The 22231-nt window shown below is 43.8% G+C and overlaps 1 protein-coding gene and 1 long non-coding RNA gene across 4 annotated transcripts in view, besides 2 other annotated features; one reads left to right on the forward strand and one right to left on the reverse strand.

The window, feature by feature from the left end:
* LOC105369321 (uncharacterized) overlaps positions 1 to 9907 on the reverse strand; it is a 95635-nt gene extending 85728 nt beyond the window's left edge. Inside the window, exons 1-2 of one of the 3 annotated variants that reach the window (XR_001748240.2) lie at positions 9717 to 9907; positions 8973 to 9032 (exon numbers count right to left, since the gene is read on the reverse strand). This is a non-coding gene — a long non-coding RNA (uncharacterized LOC105369321). Of the gene's footprint in view, positions 1 to 4987; positions 5095 to 8972; positions 9033 to 9716 lie in introns of those variants that run through there. The other 2 variants (XR_950146.2, XR_950147.3) reach the window with 2 other exon arrangements.
* MS4A8 (membrane spanning 4-domains A8) lies at positions 5590 to 21785 on the forward strand. The gene is made up of 7 exons (NM_031457.2): positions 5590 to 5753; positions 6838 to 7057; positions 9356 to 9478; positions 12966 to 13025; positions 14628 to 14759; positions 20999 to 21112; positions 21288 to 21785. The coding sequence occupies exons 2-7, from the start codon at positions 6839 to 6841 to the stop codon at positions 21390 to 21392; spliced, it is 753 nt and encodes a 250-aa protein (NP_113645.1). The 5' UTR covers positions 5590 to 5753; position 6838; the 3' UTR covers positions 21393 to 21785.
* Positions 6634 to 7135: an enhancer, noted in NCBI's record as "H3K4me1 hESC enhancer chr11:60468129-60468630 (GRCh37/hg19 assembly coordinates)". NCBI's record gives its function as "activates a minimal SCP1, AML or CMV promoter by ChIP-STARR-seq in primed H9 embryonic stem cells {active_cell/tissue: H9 hESC(primed)}" and the evidence as "EXISTENCE:reporter gene assay evidence [ECO:0000049][PMID:30033119]".
* Positions 7136 to 7635: an enhancer, noted in NCBI's record as "H3K4me1 hESC enhancer chr11:60468631-60469130 (GRCh37/hg19 assembly coordinates)". NCBI's record gives its function as "activates a minimal SCP1, AML or CMV promoter by ChIP-STARR-seq in primed H9 embryonic stem cells {active_cell/tissue: H9 hESC(primed)}" and the evidence as "EXISTENCE:reporter gene assay evidence [ECO:0000049][PMID:30033119]".
* Positions 21786 to 22231: the final 446 nt, after the last annotated feature.

The following is a 22231-nucleotide window of genomic DNA, read 5'->3' on the forward strand; positions in this document are numbered from 1 at the left end:
AACAAAATGAATCCCTTGAAATGCCAGATAAATAATTTAAAATATTGATTTTTAAAGAAGCTTAATGAGATGCAAAGGATATCTGAAAATCAGGCCAGGCATAGTGTCTCGTGCCTGTAATCCCACTGTAATCCCAGCACTTTGGGAGGCCATGGCAGGTAGATCACATGAGGCCAGGAGTTCAAGACCAGCCTGGGCACCATACTGAAACCCTGTCTTTCTACTAAAAATACAAAAAAAAATGTAAGCTAATACAAGAAAATCAGTAAATCAATTCAGAAAATGAAAGAAAATAAAATCTCAGTACCTGAAGACATGTCTTTTGAAGTAATTCAGCCAGACAAAAATAAGGAAAAAAGAATTACAAAGGATAAACAAAGCCTTTAAGATATCTGAGATGATATAAAACAACCAAACTTACAAATTATCAGTACACCCAAGGGGGTAGAGAGATTCAAAAGTTTAGAAATGGCCAGGTGTAGCGGCTCATGCCTGTACTCCCAGCAATTTGGGAGGCCAAAGTGGGAGGACTGCTTGAGATCAAGAGTTCAAGACTAGCCTAAGCAAGAAAACAAGAATCTGCCTTTACAAATTTTTTTTTTTAAATTAGCCAGGCATGGTGGCTCATGTGTGTCATCCCAGCTACTTGAAGGGCTAAGGTGGGAGGATTGCTTGAGCCCAGGAGTTTGAGGTTGCAATGGGCCATGATTGTGCCACTGCACTCCAACCTGGGTGACAGAGTGAAACAAAACAAAACAAAAGCTTAGAAAACATATTTGAGGAAATAATCAATAAAAATGTCCCAAGAATATCAAGAGAGTTAGACATAAAGATACAGGAAGTCCAGTGATACCCAGGCAAACACATTGCAAAAAGGATCTCACCATGGCAATATTATATTCAGAATGTCTAAAGTCAATGAGAAAGAAAGAATTTTGTCAGTAACAATACAAAAGTTTCTAGTCACCTATAAAGAAAACTCCATTAGACTAACAGCAGACTTTTCAGCAGAAATCTTACAGGCCAGAAGAGAAGGGAATGGTATTTTCAAAGTGCTTGAACAAAAGAACTATCAGCCAAGAATTTTGTGTCCTGCCAAAATAGGTTTCATAAATAAAGTCCTTTCCAGGCAAGCAAACACTGAGGGAATTTGTCACCCCTACAAATGGTCACCCTACAGGAAATGCTCAAAGAGGTCTTAAACATGTGAATGAAAAGTCAATATCCATCATCATTAAAACCCATGGAAATATAAAACTTACAGTTTGTATAAAACAATCACACAAAGGAGGAAAAGAAAGGAATCAAATGGCAACATGACAAAATTTTACTAAACCACAAAGACAAAAAGACAGAAACAAAGAATCTATAACTTGAAATCGATCAACAATATGACAGGAACAAAGCTTCACATATCAATATTAACCCCGAAAGTAAATGGACTAAATGCTCCACTGAAAAGATGCAGATTGGCAGAATGGGTTTAAAAAATAATCCAAGTATATGCTGCCTACAAGAAACTCACCTTACCCACAAAAACACATATAGGTTGAAAGTAAAGAGGTGGAAAAGATATTCCAAGCAAACAGAAATAAAAGCAAGCAGGAGTAGTTATCCTTATGTCAGATAAAATAGACTTTAAATCAAAAACAGTAAGAAAGAACACAGAAGGGCATTACATAGTGATAAAGTGATCAAGAAGATGTAACAATCCTAAATATATATGCACCCAACATTGGAGCACCCAAATTTACAAAACAAATATTACTGCAGAAAACCAAATACCACATGTTCTCACTTATAAGTGGGAGCTAAATGATGAAAACTCATCAACACAAAGGGAACAATAGACACTGAGATCTATTTGAGGGTGAAGGGTAGGACGAGGAAGAGGAGCAGTAACATAACTATTGGGTACTGGGCTTAATACCTGGGTGATGAAATAATCTGTACAATGAACCCCCATGACATAAGTTTACCTATGTAATAAACCTTCATGTGTACCCCCAAACCTAAAAAAACACACACAAATATTACTACACCTAAAGAAAGAGAAAGACGAGAAAGGCAGCAACACAATAATAGTGGGGGACTTAACCACCCCACTTGCAGCACTAGACAGATCATAGGGAGAAAAAATTAACAAAGAAACATTGGCCTTAAATTGGACTTTAGACCAAATGGATTTAACAGGTATTTGTGCAGTGGTGCAATCTTGGCTCACTGCAACCTCCACTTCCTGGGTTCAAGTGATTCTCCTGCCTCAGCCTCCCAAGTAGCTGGGACTACAGGCATGCACCACCATGCCCGGCTACTTTTTTGTGTTTTTAGTAGAGACGGGGTTTCAGCATGTTGGTCAGGCTGGTCTTGAACTACTGACCTCAGATGATCCACCCTCCTCGGCCTCCCAAAATGCTGGGTTTACAGGCATGAGTCACTGCGCCTGGCCCAGAATATGCATTATTTTTATCAGCACATGGACCATTCCCCAAGATAGACTACATGTTAGGCCACAAAACTAGCCTTAAGAAATTTTTAAAAATTGAAATCATGTCAACTATCTTCTCAGATGACAATGCAATAAAGGTAAAAATCAGTACCAAGAGAAATTTCAGAAAGTATACAAATACATGGAAACTAAACAGCATGCTCCTGAACAATCACTGGGTCAATGAAGAAATTAAGACAGAAATTTAAAATTTTTATGAAATGAAAAGAAAAACACATCTTACCAAAACCTGTGGGATACAGTGAAAGTAGTTCTATGAGGGAAATTTATAGCATTAAATGCCTACATCAAAAAAAGCAGAAAGATGACAAATTAACAGCTTAATATTGTATCTCAAGGATGTAGAGAAACAAGGAGAAATCAAACCCGAAATTGGCAGAAGAAAAAAAAAAAGATCAAGGCAGGACTAAATAAATCAGAAATGAAAAAAGAATAAAAAGGATCAACGAAATGAAAAGTTTGTTCCTTGAAAAGATAAAATTGATAAACCACTAGCTAGACTAATAAAAGGGAGAGAAGATTCAAATAAACACAATCAGAATTGAAAATGAAGACATTACAATTGATACCACAGCAATACAAAAGGCTCTGACATAAGGATTTGGGTGCTTACTTGGGAAGTGACCCAAGACTCACTGTGAAAAAAAATGGAAAAGTGATACCAAAAAAAGGAAGAAAGTCAATAGACTATGTATTAATGAATGAGTTCTGTTATAGGGAACTGGTGCTTAATCCTGTTGGAGACTCTCTAAGAGACAGTTGAAACACACTTCAAAATTATTTCTCTTAGGGGACAGAGAAGCTAGGGTAGTTATCCAGCATATGCACGTTACACTGGATAGGAAAAATTCTTGTGGGATTAACTTCCCAGCACCTATGGCCTGCCCCATACCTATGCATCCTCGGAAAAGAAAGGAGTTGTCCATAGATGTGGAGACTGGCTGAAGATGCAGCATCAATACAGCATTTGCTGCAGAGTTTGCTCAGAGTTTGAGGCTGCAGTGAGCTATGATCACGTTACTGTACTCTAGCTTGAGCAAGACCCTGTCTCAAGACCTCCAGAGTGGATCAAGGGGATATAGATGCTGCATCAACAGCATTTGCTGAAGTAGGTTTGGACAATAATAATCTCCCTTGTATGTCTCCGGTCCCTTCTAGAAAGTTGGCACCACTTCTATAAACTCAATTAAAAGGTGACAAATTTCATCTTCTACAATATCTGGTTAAACCTGGTCCTGAATGTCCCACGTGCACTAGGGCTTAGCCACCTATATGTCCTCATTCAGATGCCTCTTATTATTTCTGTCAATACAGTTTGGTTCATGTTATTCGTCTTTACAAAAAGCTATTGAGTTACTTTATAGAGTTAGACAAATGCTAAAGTTCATTTGGAAAAACAAACATGCAAGAATAGCCATAAAATATAATGAAAAAGGAAAAATTACACAGGAGACTAACCCTACAGGACATTGAAGTACACTGGAAAGCCTCTATAATTAAAACATTGTTGAAATAACACATGAATAGACAAATAGACCAATAGAAAGTAAAAGAAAGACCAGAATTAGAACCAAATGCATATAGAAATTTAGGCTGTGACAAAGGTGGCATTTCAAATGCCGCTGAAGAGAAGATGAGCTATTTAATAAATTGCCCTGGGGCAGCCAGGTAGACTTTTGGAAAAATTTAAAATTAGACCCACATCTCATAGCATTCACAAAAAAATACATTTTACATGTATTAAGAATCAAAATGTAAAAAGTAAAACAATACAAGTATTAGAAGAAAACACAGCTAAATTCCTGTTTAATCTTAGTGTTAGGAAAGGCTTTCAAACAATGACTCAAATGCATAGGTAATAAAAGATAAGACTGATAAATTTTACTACAAAAATTTTTAAAATTTTTCTTGACAGAAAACCACCCTAAACAAAATCAAAAGACACTGTCAAAATTGGAGAATATACCAAAGACAAAGACCTAAAATCCCTAGTATGTAAAGAACTCTTTAAAAATTAAGGGACAAAGGTCCAGGAATCTGATAGAAAAAATGGGTAAAGAAGTAAAATTTGGGTTAGGCATGGTGGCTCACTCCTGTAATCCCTGCACTTTGGGAGGCCGAGGCAGGAGAATCATTTGAGGCCAGGAATTGAAGACCAGCCTGGGCAGCATAGTGAAATCCTGTCTCTACAAAAAATTTTAAGATTTAGCTGGCCACAGTAGTGCGTGCCTGCAGTCCCAGCTATTCAGGAGGCTGAGGCAGGTGGATTGCTTGAGCCTGGGAGTTTGAGGCTGCAGTGAACTATCACTGCACTCCAGCCTGAGCAAGACCCTGTCTCTAAAAAATACAAACAACAACAAAAAAGTGAAGTCTGACTCCAGCTACCTTTTCATCTTTTTTACATTCAATGTCCTTCACTGTGAGCCATTCCCAACATATCTCTACCTTCTCTTCCCCAAGACTTTTCCCTTTCCATACCCTCAACGGTGTTCTTTTTGTTTTGACCATCTTACAATGTTCTAGCCATCCCATCAACTTCATTTGTTCTTCATTGTTCACCTTCTTCAACGGTAAATCTGTCATGGACTATTACATGCAGCTGTTTTTGTACTGTGCAATTCACACGATGTATGTCATAGATATGTGGAATGCCCTCCCATGGATGGCTTCTGATTTTCTATTGGCTCTGACTTGGATGAAAATAGATCTAAGTTGATTACAAGTCTCATTTCACTCGCTGTGATTCTATCCCTTTCTGGACTGCAGTTTATTGATTTCATATGCCACCTTCTGTTTGAAGTCTTCCCTAATCTCTTCAAGTCCAACAAATCATTTTCTCCTCTGTTCTCCTGTGGGGACATTTATCTCTCTTCTGTGGTGTTTATTTCATCCTGTCTCATGTTACAGCTAAATACAGCACACCCTGGGTGCCCAGTTCATTTCTGTGTCTCCCAGAGCAACCAGCCCAACCCTTTCTTCTCCATGGAGATTATACCATAGACTCTTGTCAAATCAAACCATATTTAACTGGCTCATTAACCAAAACAGGAAATAAATACGAATGAAACTGAGCTCTAAGCAGCATGTAACCTGGCCTGCATCCAGGAAATAGAGGACTTCGGATCCTTCTAACCCTACCACCCAACTGGCCCCAGTACATTCATTCTCTCAGGAAAAAAAACAAGGTCCCCACAGCAAAGAAAAGGAATAGGATCAAGAGATACGTGGCTGCTGGCAGAGCAAGGTGAGTCTGCTTAATCTGGTGGTTGGTAACTGGGAGTTGGTGATAAGGTTTTTCTACCAAGTGAGACTTACGGCGAACCAGTGTGGATGAGGGATAGACAGAGTGTATTGTACTAGCTTTATTGAGTCTGCTCCAAGAGAAAGAAAGAGAAAGATAGGACATGGAGGGGGATGGGAGAAACAAAAAGAAAAAGAATTTTTAAAACCACATTAGAATGTATAAGTAGCCTAGAAAATTGAGCAGTGGAAGCCACCCAATGAACAGACACTGCCTTGGCAATGGGGCTTCCCTTGAGAAGGATAATCTCCATTTAACTAATATTGACATACCTGGGACCTTGGAGGATTCTTGTCCACTCTCTCACCCTGTTTCCTTTTCCAGAAAATGAGAGAATTGAACTCAATGTTGTCCAAGAGATTTTCTAGTTCTGAACTTTTGCTTTCAGCCAGTACTAACATATGCAAAGCAGCACTCTAAACACTATGAGAGGCCGGGTGCGGTGGTTCACATCTGTAATCCCAGCACTTTGGGAGGCCGAGGCAAGCGGATCGCCTGAGGTCAGGAGTTCGAGACCAGCCTGGCCAACAGGGGGAAACCCCATCTCTACTAAAAATACAAAAATTAGCTGGGTGTGGTGGCGGGGGCCTGTAATCCCAGATACTCAGGAGGCTGAGGCAGGAGAATTGCTTGAACCTGGGAGGCGGAGGTTGCAGTGAGCCAAGATCGTACCACTGCACTCCAGCCTGGGTGACAGAGCCAGACTCTGTCTCAAAAAAAAATTAAAAAATAAACACTATGAGAGACACAAAGATGGAAAAGATGGACCCCTTGCCCTCTGGTAGCCTTTAGCCTCTTTGAGTCTTAGTTTTCTCATCTGTAAAACTGGGCGGGTGAGAGGATGAAAGGAAATGTATTTGTAAAGCACCTCTTAAGTGCCCTATAACTGATATCTATTATTTGTAACATGGGATTCATAAACTTGTAGAGGGTTAAGATGCTCCAATGAGCTAGAAGAAGCAAAAGTCCTTTTTAAAGGACAAGTCCATATGTGAGGGAAAATTCTCTCGCATTTATTTCTTGGCAGCATGAATTCGATGACTTCAGCAGTTCCGGTGGCCAATTCTGTGTTGGTGGTGGCACCCCACAATGGTTATCCTGTGACCCCAGGAATTATGTCTCACGTGCCCCTGTATCCAAACAGCCAGCCGCAAGTCCACCTAGTTCCTGGGAACCCACCTAGTTTGGTGTCGAATGTGAATGGGCAGCCTGTGCAGAAAGCTCTGAAAGAAGGCAAAACCTTGGGGGTAAGTGAGATTTCCCTTTGCAGGCCACAGACTGCACAGCTGGAGTGATGGCAGGGGGAAGGGAAGGCCTGGGAAATACACAAACACTACATCCCGCAAGTGGGGCTGAGTTGATCGCGCCTTGCCAAGCACAGGTCTATTAGAAAGCTCAGCTGCACAACATCACAGGCGGCCTCTGCTCAGACCTTGTATTTTCTGATTTAGGCATTTTCGGAAAGAGAAAGAAAAGCAACAAAAAAGCAGCACGCTTGAAGGTTGATCCTGTTGCCAGGATCCACGCCCAGCCCTGTGGCCTCTGAAGAAAGGGGTCCCAGCAAGACCAAAATAGACCACAAGGTGGAGTCAGAATCCAATAAGATCGAATCAAATATTTGCCCAACAGGAAACAAAGCAGGTTAGGCAACCAACAACATAAATGGTCACCGCAACCCCTGAGAGGCTGTCCTGCGCTGGACAAAGAAAGGCCCATTTCACTGTGTAGCTGAATGATGGGCATGAATTTGGATGCAGACTGCCCGAGCTCCAACCCTAGCTCCACCCTCAGATAGTGCTCATGGGAACAAAAATTGATACAACCCTTAGGGAGGGAAATTTGTATCTGCCAAATTTACAAAATATCCAATAATTCCATTGCTGGAACTTCATCCTCCAGATATGCCTGTGCCCACAAAAACTGTGATATGTATGAGCTTATTCATTGCAGCGTGGTTTGTGATAACAAAAATATTGTAATATCCATCAATATAATACCGGTTAAGTCAGTATATTGGTTAAGTCAGTGTAATATACTGGTTAAGTCAGTGCATCCAAAGAATAAAATGTAGTGGAGCTATGAAAAGAACAAGAAAGCTCTTTGTGTAATGATAGGGACACACCCCAAGATATGGAGTTAATGGAAGAAAGTAAGGGGCAGACACTGTGTATAATTTGCTTACATTTATGTGAATTTAAGGAAGTAATATATTTGTATTTGCTACCACGTGTGTAATATACAAACATACACAGATGTTCTTTCATTTACAATGGGATTATGTCCCAGTGTACCCATCGTAAATTAAAAATATCATAAGTAAAAAATACATTTAATACATGTAGCCTACCAAACATCATAGCTTAGCCTCGCCTACCTTAAACAAGTTCAGAACACTTAGGTTAGCTTACAGCTGGGCAAAATCATCTAACACAAAGCCTATTTAATAGTGTTCTTGAATATCTAATGTAGTTTACTGAACACTGGACTGAAAATGAAAAGCAGAATGATTGTATGGGTACTCCAAATACGGTTTCTACTGAATTCATGTCACTTTCACACCATAATAAAGTTGAAAACTTTGTTTTTTTGAGACAGAGTCTCACTCTGTCACCCAGGCTGGAGCGCAGTGGCGCAGTCTTGGCTCACTGCAACCTCTGCCTCCTGGGTTTAAGCGATTCTCCCGCCTCAGCCTCCCAAGTAGCTGGGATTACAGGCACCCACCATCATGCCGAGCTAGTTTTTGTATTTTTGTAGAGACAGGGTTTCACCATGTTGGCCAGGCTGGTCTTGAACTCCTGACCTGTGATCCGCCCGTCTCAGCTTCCCAAAGTGCTGAGATTACAGGTGTGAGCCACTGTGCCTGGCCCACATGGCATTTTTTATAAGGACACCAATCATATTGGATTGGAGACCCACTCTACTCCAGTGTGACCTCATCTTGGCTGATTATATCTGCAACAACTCTGTTTTCAAATAGAGTCACATTCTGAGGCACTCAGCATTAGAATTTCAACACATGAATTTGGAGGAGGGTTGGGGGAGGGGAGCATAATTTAACACATAACAATATCCTAAAGAAATAAGAGATGAAGGCAAAGATTTACATAGAAGGATGTTTATCACAATGTTACATATAATAGAAAAAAGTAGAAATAATCTTACCTGTCCAATAACTCTGTCTCAACTACTCCACAGACCATCCATAATGGGATCTGAGCAGCCCTGAAAAAACATATGTTCCAAGAATACTTAATGCCATGAGGACACATTCATGATGAAATATTAAGTTAATAAAATTCAGGGGGCCATGTTGTGCTATCAAGGTATATATTTGAAAAGAATAATGGGAGAATACACCAAAATGTAAACAGTTGTTTTCTCCAGGCGGAGGGGAGATTACAGGTAGTTTTTATTTCATTTTTGTATTTCCCATATTACTTTTTAGACCATGAAAATAAAACATTTATTAAAATTAAAAGGAGGCTCATAGGGGAGGCAGGACCCAGCCTCAGAAACAAGACTTCAGCTTGTGGCTCTCCTGACAGGCCATCCAGATCATCATTGGCCTGGCTCACATCGGCCTCGGCTCCATCATGGCGACGGTTCTCGTAGGGGAATACCTGTCTATTTCATTCTACGGAGGCTTTCCCTTCTGGGGAGGCTTGTGGGTGAGTAACTCAAGTCCTCCTGCCGATGAGCTCCCAGAAGGTGCCAAGGCACTCAAGGCCACCTTGCCAAGTTGTGCAGCTGTGCCCTGCAGAAGGTTCCCAGCCACCCAAATGTGGGGGATAGGAAACCAGCCAGCCCTGGCCTCGTTCCGCAAGCATATTAGTTTGGTAGGGCCGGCCCAACAGAGTATAGCACCACAGGTTGGATGGCTTAAACAACAGAAATTTGTTATCTCACAGTTCTGGCGGCTGAAAGTCTGCGATGGAGATGTTAGCAGATGTTTTCCCCTAAGGTCTCTCTCCTTGGCTTGCAGAAGGTCGTCTTCTCCCTGAGCCTTTCCACGGCCTTCCTCCATGCCTGTGCCCTAGTCTCCTCTTCCTATGAGGACACCAGTCATTTTGGATTAGGGTCCCCCCTGATGACCTCATTTAACCTGAATGACGGTTTTAACAACCCTATCTCCAAACACAGTCAGATTCTGGAGCACTACAGATTAGGGCTTCAATCTACGAAATTTGGTGGGGGATAGAGGGTGTGGACACAATTCAGCCCATAATATCAAGCTACAACCCCGCAAGGTGACATCCCCTCAAAAGGGATGTATTTTCTTTTTACTTTTTTTTTTTTTTTTTTTTTTGAGATGGAGTCTCACTCTGTCGCCCAAGCTGGAGCGCAGTGGTGCAATCTCGGCTCACCGCAACCTCCCCCTCCCGGATTCAAGCAATTCTCCTGCCTCAGCCTCCCTAGTAGCTGGGATTACAGACGCGCACCACCACGCCCGGCTAATTTTTGTATTTTTAGTAGTGACAAGATTTCACCACGTTGGCCAGGCTGGTCTCAAACTCCTGACCTCAGGTGATCCACTTGCCTCAGCCTCCCAAAGTGCTGGGATTACAGGTGTGAGCCACCACACCCGGCCAAAAGGGATGTGTTTTCTTAATTCACAAAGAAAACATCCACATGTAAAAAATACACTGGGAATAGCCCCTGGCATTGTTGGACATAGGCCCACAAGCCTGAGCTCCAGGAGAAAAACACTCAGCAAAGGTGAAGAGTGGCTTCCCAGCTGTAGAACAGCAAGGGTTTGAGTGCTTGAGCACTGGGGACTCAATCTAGATCTGCAGATGGGCTTTGGGGGCTCCATTTTGGCAAAATACCTAATATGCTAAATGTGTATTATTTTTCTGGAAGGGTCCATAGCTTTCATCAGATTATCAGAGTGATCCGTGACTCCATAAAGTGTTAAGAACTACAGTCCTTCTTCCACATCAGTTTATTACCTTTATGGTTCCTTTGCAGTGTCCCCCTGCCCACACACACACACACACACACACATACACACACACACATACAAACAAACACACATACACACACACACACATACACACACACACTCTCTCTCTCTCTCCTTCTCCTCCCCTCTCCACCTTCCTTTCTCCTTTCTCTCCCTTCTGTTACAGTCTTCCTCCTGACTCACACACCTACATGTGACACTAATGCAACTTTCCTCATAAATGGCACAACTCCAGAGTAACCTAGGTGCCAGCCCAAGTCCCTCTACCTTATAAGAGTTAAATAAAATAGCCTAGAGCTATCTCCATCCCCGACAGCCACACAAGTTCTGCAAATGAACAGGGCTCCTCTAGCGAGGCTCTGCACACACCCAAACTCAGAACTCAGCCCCTTTCCCTCCCACAACCACTCACAAGATACCTGTTCCTGTATCTCTGACCTTCGTGGAATGTGGGGCTATGGAGAGGGCTAGCATCACGGCCACCCAGGCCTACCATTGAGCACACAATGCCTACCACGGAGCACTGGATTCCACCAAGTGCCAGTGAGCAGCAGGCAGTTGTCCTGGCATCTCAAATGCCTCACTGACCACGCCTCCTCCCACCAGGCTGCTGAGTCCCTTCAGCCCTCATGACCTTCCTCCTTTTGCTCTGCAGGGCAGTTGTGCTCTTTGCTGCCTTCTTGATCCCAGGACTGTCTTTCTATTTCCCAAAGATCATCAATATCCTCTTCTGAAACAAAGGCTCATCTCCTCTGGCACCTCAGAAGGACTGAGAGGGATACCAAAAGTCCAGCCCTTCCTCCCCATCAAATCTCTATAAACAGAAGGGTGTGAGCCTGAGATTTGTTTTTCCACTCATAGGAGAATATGGCCTTGGCCTTGGAAGGCAGAAACAGCTGGAATAAGTTTTCACTGTAAATAACTATGTCCACTCTATGGCACATGCATCTGCCGTGGGTGGGAGGGAGTATGGAGTGAGGGTTAGGAACATGGAGTCTGAAATCAAGCTGTCTGGATTTGATTCTCAAATGCATGTGCCATAGAGTGGAAACACTTATTTACAATGAAAACTCCGCTGGATGATGTTGTGTGAGTTGTTCAAAATCTCTAAGCCTCAGTCTCCTCATTGATAAAATGGCAAGAGTAATACTGCTTGATGGGCCACCATGTGGTTAAATGAGGCGAGGTTGAACAAGTACTTCATCTGTTGGGGGGAGGGCGGTGATGGGTTGCTAGTCGGTACGTGGCTTCTTTTGGGGCCGTTGCAAATGTTCTAACTTACATTGTAGTGATGATTGCACAACTTTATAAATATACTAAAAATAATTGCATAATATACTTTAAATGGGTGAATTATATGATACATGAATTATATGTCAATGAAGCCTTTTCTAAAAAAGCATTTTCTATAGTGCCCCACAAATGGTAGCTCCTATTAAATATAGCTCATGCCCTCTCATACCACTCTTGCTAGCCCACTGGGCAAATGATGGCAGGCAATCCCATCAGCCACAGTGCCTGCGGAATACCATGTTGGATGAAATGCACGCAATTGACATCATCATCCTCGTATTTGATGTTCAGCATCATAGCGACACAATGTTTATCTGAGTAACTAAAAGTTATTTGTCCAGATATGCAGGCAGGCAAGGATTGATGTCAGGCTTCTATCTAAAAGCAGCAGAGAAGACGCTGGTAACCCCTTCCTTCTCCCCTCCAGAGCCCCCAAACCTAACTGAATCTTGATATAAAGATTGGAAAACAATAGGGTGTACTTGTGGGAAAATAAAATACAAGGAAATAATCCAACATTTGAGCATCTACTAAGTGTAAAGATATACTAAATGCCAGATGTAGGGCATAAGTTGTCTCATGACAATGACACTTGGGAAGAGCTATAAATTTTTCCATTTTGTAGATGAGGAAATAAAGACTTAGAGAAGTTAATAACTTACCCAAGGTCAAGAGTTTCTAGCCAGAATTTAAAACCAGGTTTGCTGGATCCTAGAATATATATTTATCCCACCCCAGTGCCTTTTCAGGCAGTGCAAAACAGCTCATTTTTTCTGTTGCCCATGTTGAGCTGATGGTTCCAGCAAAGGTACCCACTGTGTGTGACCAGAATCACAGAAGCCTGGGGAAGGGCACCCTAGCCCCTGACCTCTTTCTAAACCCACTCTGTTCTGTACCAGTTTATCATTTCAGGATCTCTCTCCGTGGCAGCAGAAAATCAGCCATATTCTTATTGCCTGGTAAGTTACATTCTGAGACCAGCTCTTCCAACTGGAGACCTATAGAATGGTGTCACAAAGGGGAAAATAAGGTCACATACGATTCCTCCCCCAGCCTTGCACCTACTATAACCAGACACACGGTGCTCACACACATTCCCGCTCATACAGACTGGCCACAGGAGCCTGGCCCTGGAGTCACATGTGGAAAAGTCCCAAGAGGATGCAGAAGTGAGAAGGGGCAATACAGTCACCTTAGTTAAGGCATCAGAGTATGGAGAGCGAGAGAGAGAGAGAGAGAGAGAGATAACAGCTTTCCTAAGAAGCCCTGCCACAGAGAGGCACAGAGCTCCCAGGGGCCCAGGGCTGCCCTCTAGCAGACCAGGAGCCAAGAGTACTTCCAGTACAGAGAAGAGGACTCCGGGGAAGCCGAAGGAGGCTCAGTCACTCGCTTTCCTAAGGAATCCAGCCAACAGAACTCTGATAATCAACATGGACAAAGCTTTGTGCTCCCCTAGCAACAGACCAAGAAATACCTTCATTTGTCTCATAATCAGGTTACGAAGGGTAAAGGGTGACCAGGTCCCTACAACCAGATGAGATCTATTTGAAAGTCTTCAAAAGAAAGCTCAAAATGTGGAAGCGTATCTTTCTGCACATGGCCCAGAATCATGGAGCATCTGAGCTTATCACATCCCAAGACACTTGGGCTAAGATTCTATTTATCCTATGGGACAAATAGGTCAAGTGTTTCCCAGAGATTATTCTTTTTTCTTTTTCTTTTTCTTTTTTTTTTTTTTTTTTTTTTTGTGTGTGTGTGTGAGACAGAGTCTCACTGTGTCCCCCAGGCTGGAATGCAGTGGTTTGATCTCAACTCACTGCAGCATCTGCCTCCTGGGTTCAAGCAATTCTCCTGCCTCAGCCTCCCTAGTAGCTGGGATTACAGGTGCACACCACCATGCCCAGCTAATTATTGTATTTTTTGTATTTTTTGGTATTTTGGTAGAGACGGAGTTTTGCCATTTTGGCCAGGCTGGTCTTGAACTCCTGACCTCAGGTGATCCACCTGCCTCAGCCTCCCAAAGTGCTGGGATTACAGATGTGAGCATCCGCGTCCAGCCCCAAAGATTATTCTTGAGAACACTTCTCCCATGATATGCTCAATGAAGATAGTTACATGAACTTGGGAAAATCTCTATGTATTGTTTCCTCTCTGAAAGATCTAAAGTCCTCATTAAAGGCTCTGAGAAGTCCCACCACGATGATCTGTTTACCTTTGCCCAACCCAGCTATTTTCAAAGCTAACTTACCCCAAAACCTTTCTTGCACAGAACACCCCTTTACTTGCAGTGGAAATAGGGTTCCTGGGATTCACATTAAGAAACACTTTTTGATGAAAAGAGTTATAGAGATGGATGGTGGCAATGGTTGCACAGCATTGTAGATGTGTTTAATGCTACTGAACTGTAACACTTGAAAATGATTAGGATGTTAAATTTTATGTTACATATATGTTAACACAATTTTAGAAATTGGGGGGAAAAAGAAACACTTGTTGGGTCTCCATTCATCTCAGCTATAACAGCTTTTCTCGCCCATCCTGACCCTCTGTGTCTTCTTCAGCTGTCTGGCAGTTTGGGCTTGAACATCGTCAGTGCAATCTGCTCTGCAGTTGGAGTCATACTCTTCATCACAGATCTAAGTATTCCCCACCCATATGCCTACCCCGACTATTATCCTTACGCCTGGGGTGTGGTGAGTATCCCTCTCAACCAAAGATCCTCTAAGTTCTGAATTAGCTACATTTAGAAAACTCCCAGAAAGGGCTTGACAACCAAGCTACCTCACTGAACATGGTAGGAAAAGGAGGTGCTTTCAGCATAGGAACAAATTTTAAAGTCCTTGACCCATAGCTTTAAGCACATGACCTTTCCCAGTTTGGGTTTCTGCCTTTGTAGAACAATACCTACCTTGTGGCAATGTTGAGAGAATTAAATGCAATTTTACAAAGAATGCATATGTGCCCACCAACCAGCACCTCTCCTCACATTCTCTGCCTTCTTGCCCATTACTATAAGCCAGAGGTTAGCAAACTTATTCTCTAAAGAGCCAATAGTAAGCAGTTAAGGTTTTGCAGGCCTACAGTCTCTGTCATGTAGCTATAGCTGCCTTACAGCAGCCACAGAAAGCACTAAACAAATGAATATGGCTGTGTTCTGATAAAACTTTATTTACAAAACAGGCAGCAGGCAGGATTTGACCCATGGATCATAATTCACCCACCTCTGCTATACACTAGCACTGTCCAATAGAAATATGCAAGCCACATGTTATTTTAAATTTTCTAGTTGCCACATTTAAAAGAGAGAGAGAGTGAAAGCAACAGGTGAAATTGATTTTAATAATCTATTTTATTTAACCCCGTATATCTAAAATATTGTCATTTCAACATGTAATCAGTATAAAAACTTGGTTTGCTATTTTGCATTTGGGGAACTAAATCTTTGAAATCCAGTTTATATTTTGTGCTATGGCACATCTCGATTTGGGACCAGCTACATCTCAAGTGTTTAAAAGCCACATGGGAATTGTGGTTGCTGAATAGAACAGGGCAGCTACAGATGAGCTACCTGTGTCCCACGTAAATTCAATCCTCTGTCTGCGCAACTGAGTCCCTCCTCTCCTACCTGCTCAAGTTCTCCTCCCCTCTCCCTCATCCCGTCTCTCCTCTACATCATCAGTCTTTCCCCCTTTGCTGGGGCTTTTGCATCAGCATTAAGCATGCTTTTGTTTCTTAAAAAACAAACCAACCCACCTCCTCTTCGTTGTACTTCCTTTATCCACTACCACTGTATCTCTCTGGCCCTCTTTGCAGACAAATTCTTAAAAGAATTGTCTACACTTTAGTGAGTCCAATCCTCTTCTCTCATATTCTCTCTGAACCTGCTCCAATTAGACTTTCAGCCTCACTTCCCTAAACACCTGCTCTTCTCCAAATCCCCAATGGGGTGATTGATCCTTCTTCTCGGAGGGACTTTGCTTGACTTCCAGGCTCCACCCTCACTGGTTGCCCTCTTCTCTGTCTCCTCTGCTAGTTCTGTTTTTCCCAATCTCTTAGGCTCAATAATTGGTTCTCTGGTTTTCTTTCTGTACTCATTTGTCTATCTCATTTAGTCTGGCAACTTGAAACACCTTGTCTATGACAATTGTTCTAGAATACATGGCTCCAGCCAAATCTTCTCCCCTATACACCAGTCTAGCATGTCCAATGGTCAACTCAATAGCTCATAGTTCATACATCCAAGTCTGATCTCCAGATTTCACTTCCCAAACCTTCTCTACTCAGTTTTCCTGATTCCAGTTGATGGCAACTCCATCCTTCCAGTTGCTCGGGACAAAACCTTGGAGTCGTCATTGACCCTGTCTTTCTCTCACACCTCACAGCCAATCCCTCGGGCAATCCTGTTGGTTCTACTTTCAAAATGCATTCAGAATCCCACCATTTTCCCCCAGCCCCTCTACTCCCACGCTGGCCTGAGCCACCGCATCTCTCATCTAATCATGGAAACAGCCTCCTGACTGTTCCCTTTCTCCTACTCTGGGCTCACTGCAGCTGTTTATAGCATGGCCACCAGAGGGATCCTTTGGAAACACAAGATCCCATCACTTCTCTGCTGGCATCTTACTCAGAAAAAAAGCCAATGTCCTTCCAGCAGCCTGAAGATGCTGGCCCTCTGGTGCCCCCCGCCCCTGGCTCTGCTGCCATCCTCTGGTTCTGCTGCTGAACCACGGGAACCTCCATGATGTTTTCTCCAACACTCCAGGCATCTTTCCACCTTTGGGCCTGGAATGTTCCCTCCGACTGGGGAACTCTTCCCTCAGATGTTCCCACAGCTTCCTCTGTCCCTTCCTCACCTCCTTCAGATCACTAATCTGCAACCACCTTCCCAATGAGGCCTACCTGAACAACCCAACACCCACACTCTCCCAGTAACCCGCTTCCCTTCCCCTTATCTATCTTTCCTGTAGTCTATGCATCTAACACCCTCTGCAACTGACTTATTTGTTACATTTCATGCTTACTGCCTGTCCCTAGAATGAGATTCTTAAGGACAGGGATGTTTTTGGTTTCACTCACTGTCATACCTCAAATACCTAGAACTGTGTCTGGCACACGGTTGACACTTCATAAGCATTTGTCAAGGAATAAATGAATGTGCCAGCTGTGATGCATACTCAGTAAACATCAACAGCCATTAACTGTTGTTTGTATTTGACCAGATCCTTTTATCTTCAAGAGACTTAAAGACTTATCTTTCCAAGATTCTTAGGCAAAGCCTCTCCCTAGAGATCCTATGGACCAAGTCCATGTCATTTATCAAAAGTACCTTGAGTTTCTCCCCTCCCAGAAACATTTTATGGCTCCCAGATACTTTAGGATTAAAGTCCAAATTCCTCAGCCAGGTATTTGCCCTCCCTGGGGGATCTGGCTCTATCTCACTGTGCCCTACAGTTCACCTCCCTTCGAATCTCTCACTCACCCTGAACCCCAGCTACTCCCGTCCACTGCGAGAGACAGGCACAAGCGAGTACTTGGGAATTTTCCTGCTGGGAAAGAACCAATCAGGGAGGCATGGACTGCCCAATAGAAGAAATTAAGAAGCAAATGCTGGTGGAGGAACTAAGGGAAAGGAAGATGGGAGAAGAGTTTAGGAAAGACTAAACCCCAAGCAGCACAGCCAGGTGCCCTGGAGTAGAGGGAGCAGCAATTTTTGATTCAGAAAACTTGGCTTTTAATCTTAGTTCTGCCAATGATTGATCTTGGAATGAGAACTCGCCCCATGCCCACCACCCATTCCACCTTCAAGCCTCAGTCATCCCATCTGAACATGGAGGGTCGGACTGCATCTGAGCTTTGCAAATAATGACCCAAGGAATGGAGATACTCCGGGGTTTCCACATCAGGAATTATTTTTCATCAAATAAAAAAAATCTCAGCTGCTTGAGGGACCCCTTTTCCATGAAATATTTTATGTGTAAAAAAATTTTATTTAAAAAAAATTGAAAAAGACCAGCATACTTTGCCCAGGCCATTCTACTCTAAGTCTCTGTGATCCGTTGACTTAGACATCCTGCACTCCCCTTTTCCTGGGACAACTGCCTCTACCCTCACCCTCTCTAAATCCCTTCATGACAATGAACCTCTCCCTCCTCAGTGCTCTGGGATACCTTTTTGCTGTTCTGTAGCTCTTACCCTATCTGATGTGAATTATAATTATCATCTGCATCTGTTTTCCTACTAGATTGTGCCTCTCAGGATGCATTTCTTAGCCGCTTCTACCAAGCAGATGTTTAATAACCACTTGCTAAATGGAGAGGAAGGAGAAGAAAAGGGGCTAAGGAGAGGCCTCTCCAGAAGAGAGAATTCTCCAAGCATCTGGCTGTCACCAATGCTGTTTTTAAAAATCATAATTGAGATAATTGAGGCCGGTCACGGTGGCTCACACCTGTAATCCCAGCACTTTGGGAGACCGAGGCAGGTGGATCACTTGAGCTCAGGAGTTCAAGACCAGCCTGGGCAACATGGCGAAATCCCATCTATACAAAATATACAAAAATTAGCCAGGCATGGTAGCGCGTGCCTGTAATCCCAGCTACTCGGGAGGCTGAGGCAGGAGAATCGCTTCAACCCAGGAGGCGGAGCTCACAATGCTGAGCTCATGCCACTGCTCTCCAACCTGAGTGGCAGAGCAACACTCTGTCTCAAAAAAAAAAAAAATTAAAAAATCATAATTGAGAGGCATTTCTTTGGTACCTACTGCATGCCATCCACCTTCACTATGAAATGTTCTCATGTCACATAATTGGAACCCAAATGGTAATGGGAGTCTCCTGGATGGACCTTTTAGATTGAAACTCGCTTCCCAGATACACTGGAAGACTCCATACTCCTGGGTATTCTTGGGTAACAGCAAATGGAGGGTTTCTATTTCTCCCGGTTACCTCCTGCTATGGTTAATTTACTTCATTTTGGGGATCCTTTCACTGACTGTTCTTCCCAAGCCAGAGAAACAGCCCCAATTCCTGCCCTCCACAAAACACCACTGTCACAAGCCAAGAAAGTCTTTTCAGAGGCTGACATTTTCCCAAAGGTTCAGATGAAGGGGTGGGTTGCCCCTTCACACCTGTGGGTGTTTCTCGTTAGGTGGAACAAGAGACTTGGAAAAGAAAGAGACACAGAGATAAAGTACAGAGAAAGAAAAAGGGGGCCTAGGGGACCGGCGTTCAGCATACAGAGGATCCACGTGGGCACTGGCCTCTGAGTTCCCTTAGTATTTATTGATCATTATTGGGCATGGGTAATAGGATAATAGTGGAGAGAAGGTCAGAAGGTAAACACGTGAACAAATGTCTCTGCATCATAAACAAGGTAAAGAAAAAAGTGCTGTGCTTTTGATGTGCATATACATAAACATCTCAATGCCTTAAGGAGCAGTATTGCTGCCAGCATGTCCCACCTCCAGCCCTAAGGCAGTTTTCCCCTATCTCAGTAAATGGAATATACAATGGACTTTACACCGAGACATTCCATTGCCCAGAGACGAGCAGGAGACAGAAGCTTTCCTCTTACCTCAACTGCAAAGAGCCGTTCCTTCCTCTTTTACTAATCCTCCTCAGCACAGACCCTTTACGGGTGTTGGGCTGGGGGACGGTCAGGTCTTTCCCATCCCATGAGGCCATATTTCAGACTATCACATGGGGAGAAACCTTGGAAAATACCTGGCTTTCCTAGGCAGAGGTCTCTGTGGCCTTCCGCAGTGTTTTGTGTCTCTGGGTACTTGAGATTAGGGAGTGGTTTGAGATTAGGGAGTGGTGATGACTCTTTTTTTTTTTTTTTTTTTTTTTTTTGAGACGGAGTCTCGCTCTGTCGCCCAGGCCGGACTGCGGACTGCAGTGGCGCAATCTCGGCTCACTGCAAGCTCCACTTCCCGGGTTCATGCCATTCTCCTGCCTCAGCCTCCCGAGTAGCTGGGACTACAGGCACCCGCCACCGCGCCCGGCTAATTTTTTGTATTTTTAGTAGAGACAGGGTTTCACCTTGTTAGCCAGGATGGTCTCGATCTCCTGACCTCATGATCCACCCGCCTCGGCCTCCCAAAGTGCTGGGATTACAGGCGTGAGCCACCGCGCCCGGCCGGTGATGACTCTTAACAAGCGTGCTGCCTTCAAGCATTTGTTTAACAAAGCACACCCTGCACAACCCTTAATCCATCTAACCCTGACTTGACACAGCACATGTTTCAGGGAGCACAGGGTTGGGGGTAGGGTTACAGATTAACAGCAGCTCGAGGCAGAAGAATTTTTCTTAGTACAGAACAAAATGGAGTCTCCTATGTCTACTTCCTTCTACACAGACACAGTAACAATCTGATCTCTCTTTCTTTTCCCCACATTCAGAGGGATGGTGGAGGTTTACATCAGAGCCCAGCAAACCACTGATTACTGAAGATAAGACATCCTTGCTTTGGGAAGTCTTCATTTTTCACAGGAGGCCTTTTCCTGTGGCCTCCCCCTTCCCACCATGGCGCTCAACTCCTTCTTTTTCCTCTAACCATCTCCCTGTTCTCTCTGTGTCTTGTCCATACCCTCCAATTCCTACCGACGGCCTCCCCAGAGCAGTGTCACTGCTCCCCTCTCTGACTCCAGAGCACACCCTCAGGTCTCCACACCCAAAGCAACCTATCAAGGGGCTTCCCTAAACATGGTCATCTTTTTTCTCAGAGGAACACTACCAAGTAAATGTTGCAATAACAATTCTTTTACCCCCATACTTGATACTTACAAAAACCCGGTGGGAAATTTCCCCCCACGAGGCTGAGAGAGGATAGGGGACTTCCGCAAAGCCACAAAGAGTCCATGGCAGGGCCCCAGTGAGAGGTCAGTTCGGACTCCCAGTCCCGTGCTCCTGTCCTCCCCATCTGCTCTGCCTACAGAACCCTGGAATGGCGATTTCTGGCGTGCTGCTGGTCTTCTGCCTCCTGGAGTTTGGCATCGCATGCGCATCTTCCCACTTTGGCTGCCAGTTGGTCTGCTGTCAATCAAGCAATGTGAGTCCCAGGGTTCCTCAGTGGGTGGAAAGATGCCCCCAAAAAGGTGGAGACAAGGGAGCTCTTTGTGCTTTCCACTGCCTGCTCAGGAGCAGGAGTAGTTCCTCGGTGTCCGAGGCCTTTGGTGCATGGCCCGTCCTTCTTAGCATGCCCCCTGTGTGCCTGTGTTTTCCAGGTGAGTGTCATCTATCCAAACATCTATGCAGCAAACCCAGTGATCACCCCAGAACCGGTGACCTCACCACCAAGTTATTCCAGTGAGATCCAAGCAAATAAGTAAGGCTACAGATTCTGGAAGCATCTTTCACTGGGACCAAAAGAAGTCCTCCTCCCTTTCTGGGCTTCCATAACCCAGGTCGTTCCTGTTCTGACAGCTGAGGAAACGTCTCTCCCACTGTTTGTACTCTCACCTTCATTCTTCAATTCAGTCTAGGAAACCATGCTGTTTCTCTATCAAGAAGAAGACAGAGATTTTAAACAGATGTTAACCAAGAGGGACTCCCTAGGGCACATGCATCAGCACATATGTGGGCATCCAGCCTCTGGGGCCTTGGCACACACACATTCGTGTGCTCTGCTGCATGTGAGCTTGTGGGTTAGAGGAACAAATATCTAGACATTCAATCTTCACTCTTTCAATTGTGCATTCATTTAATAAATAGATACTGAGCATTCAATGTGTTCAAGGCTCTCTTCATGGCAGGAGGGGGCTGGACATTGACATGACACAGTCTTGGACCTCAAGAAACTTCTGGCCTTAGGAGAGAGGACACCAGGACATCACGGGAGCAATTTTCACTGACAAAGGGCAACATAGGGGAGAGGCAGAAGGAGCCCAGAGTGAATTTATTCTGGCTGTGATGCAGAAAGGAAGGAATGAGGAGAGCAGAGGACAGGTCTGGTTGGGGTAGCAACATCTGAATGGGGCATTAAAGGACAGTAAGGATTTTCCGTGTAATAAGGGACCACGTGGTTCAGGAGGCCTTCAGAGAGAATGATCAGTCCTTTTAGATTCTGTTACCAATGAGGCAACCAAATTCACGAATGTGCAAGAATGTAGAAGGAATCTTCCAGAGACATAAGGCCAATACATCATTATCTGTAAAAGGACTAATTCCA

Source organism: Homo sapiens, chromosome 11 (assembly GCF_000001405.40).
Source record: "Homo sapiens chromosome 11, GRCh38.p14 Primary Assembly".
Taxonomy (NCBI): Eukaryota; Metazoa; Chordata; class Mammalia; order Primates; family Hominidae; genus Homo; species Homo sapiens.

Excerpts from the sequence above, each read along its gene's own strand:
- MS4A8 (NM_031457.2), top strand. The coding sequence starts at position 6,839 with ATGAATTCGATGACTTCAGCAGTTCCGGTGGCCAATTCTGTGTTGGTG. Across the intron at positions 7,058-9,355 it reads AAGAAGGCAAAACCTTGGGG|GCCATCCAGATCATCATTGG; the intron begins GTAAGTGAGATT and ends CTCTCCTGACAG. Across the intron at positions 14,760-20,998 it reads ATCCTTACGCCTGGGGTGTG|AACCCTGGAATGGCGATTTC; the intron begins GTGAGTATCCCT and ends CTCTGCCTACAG.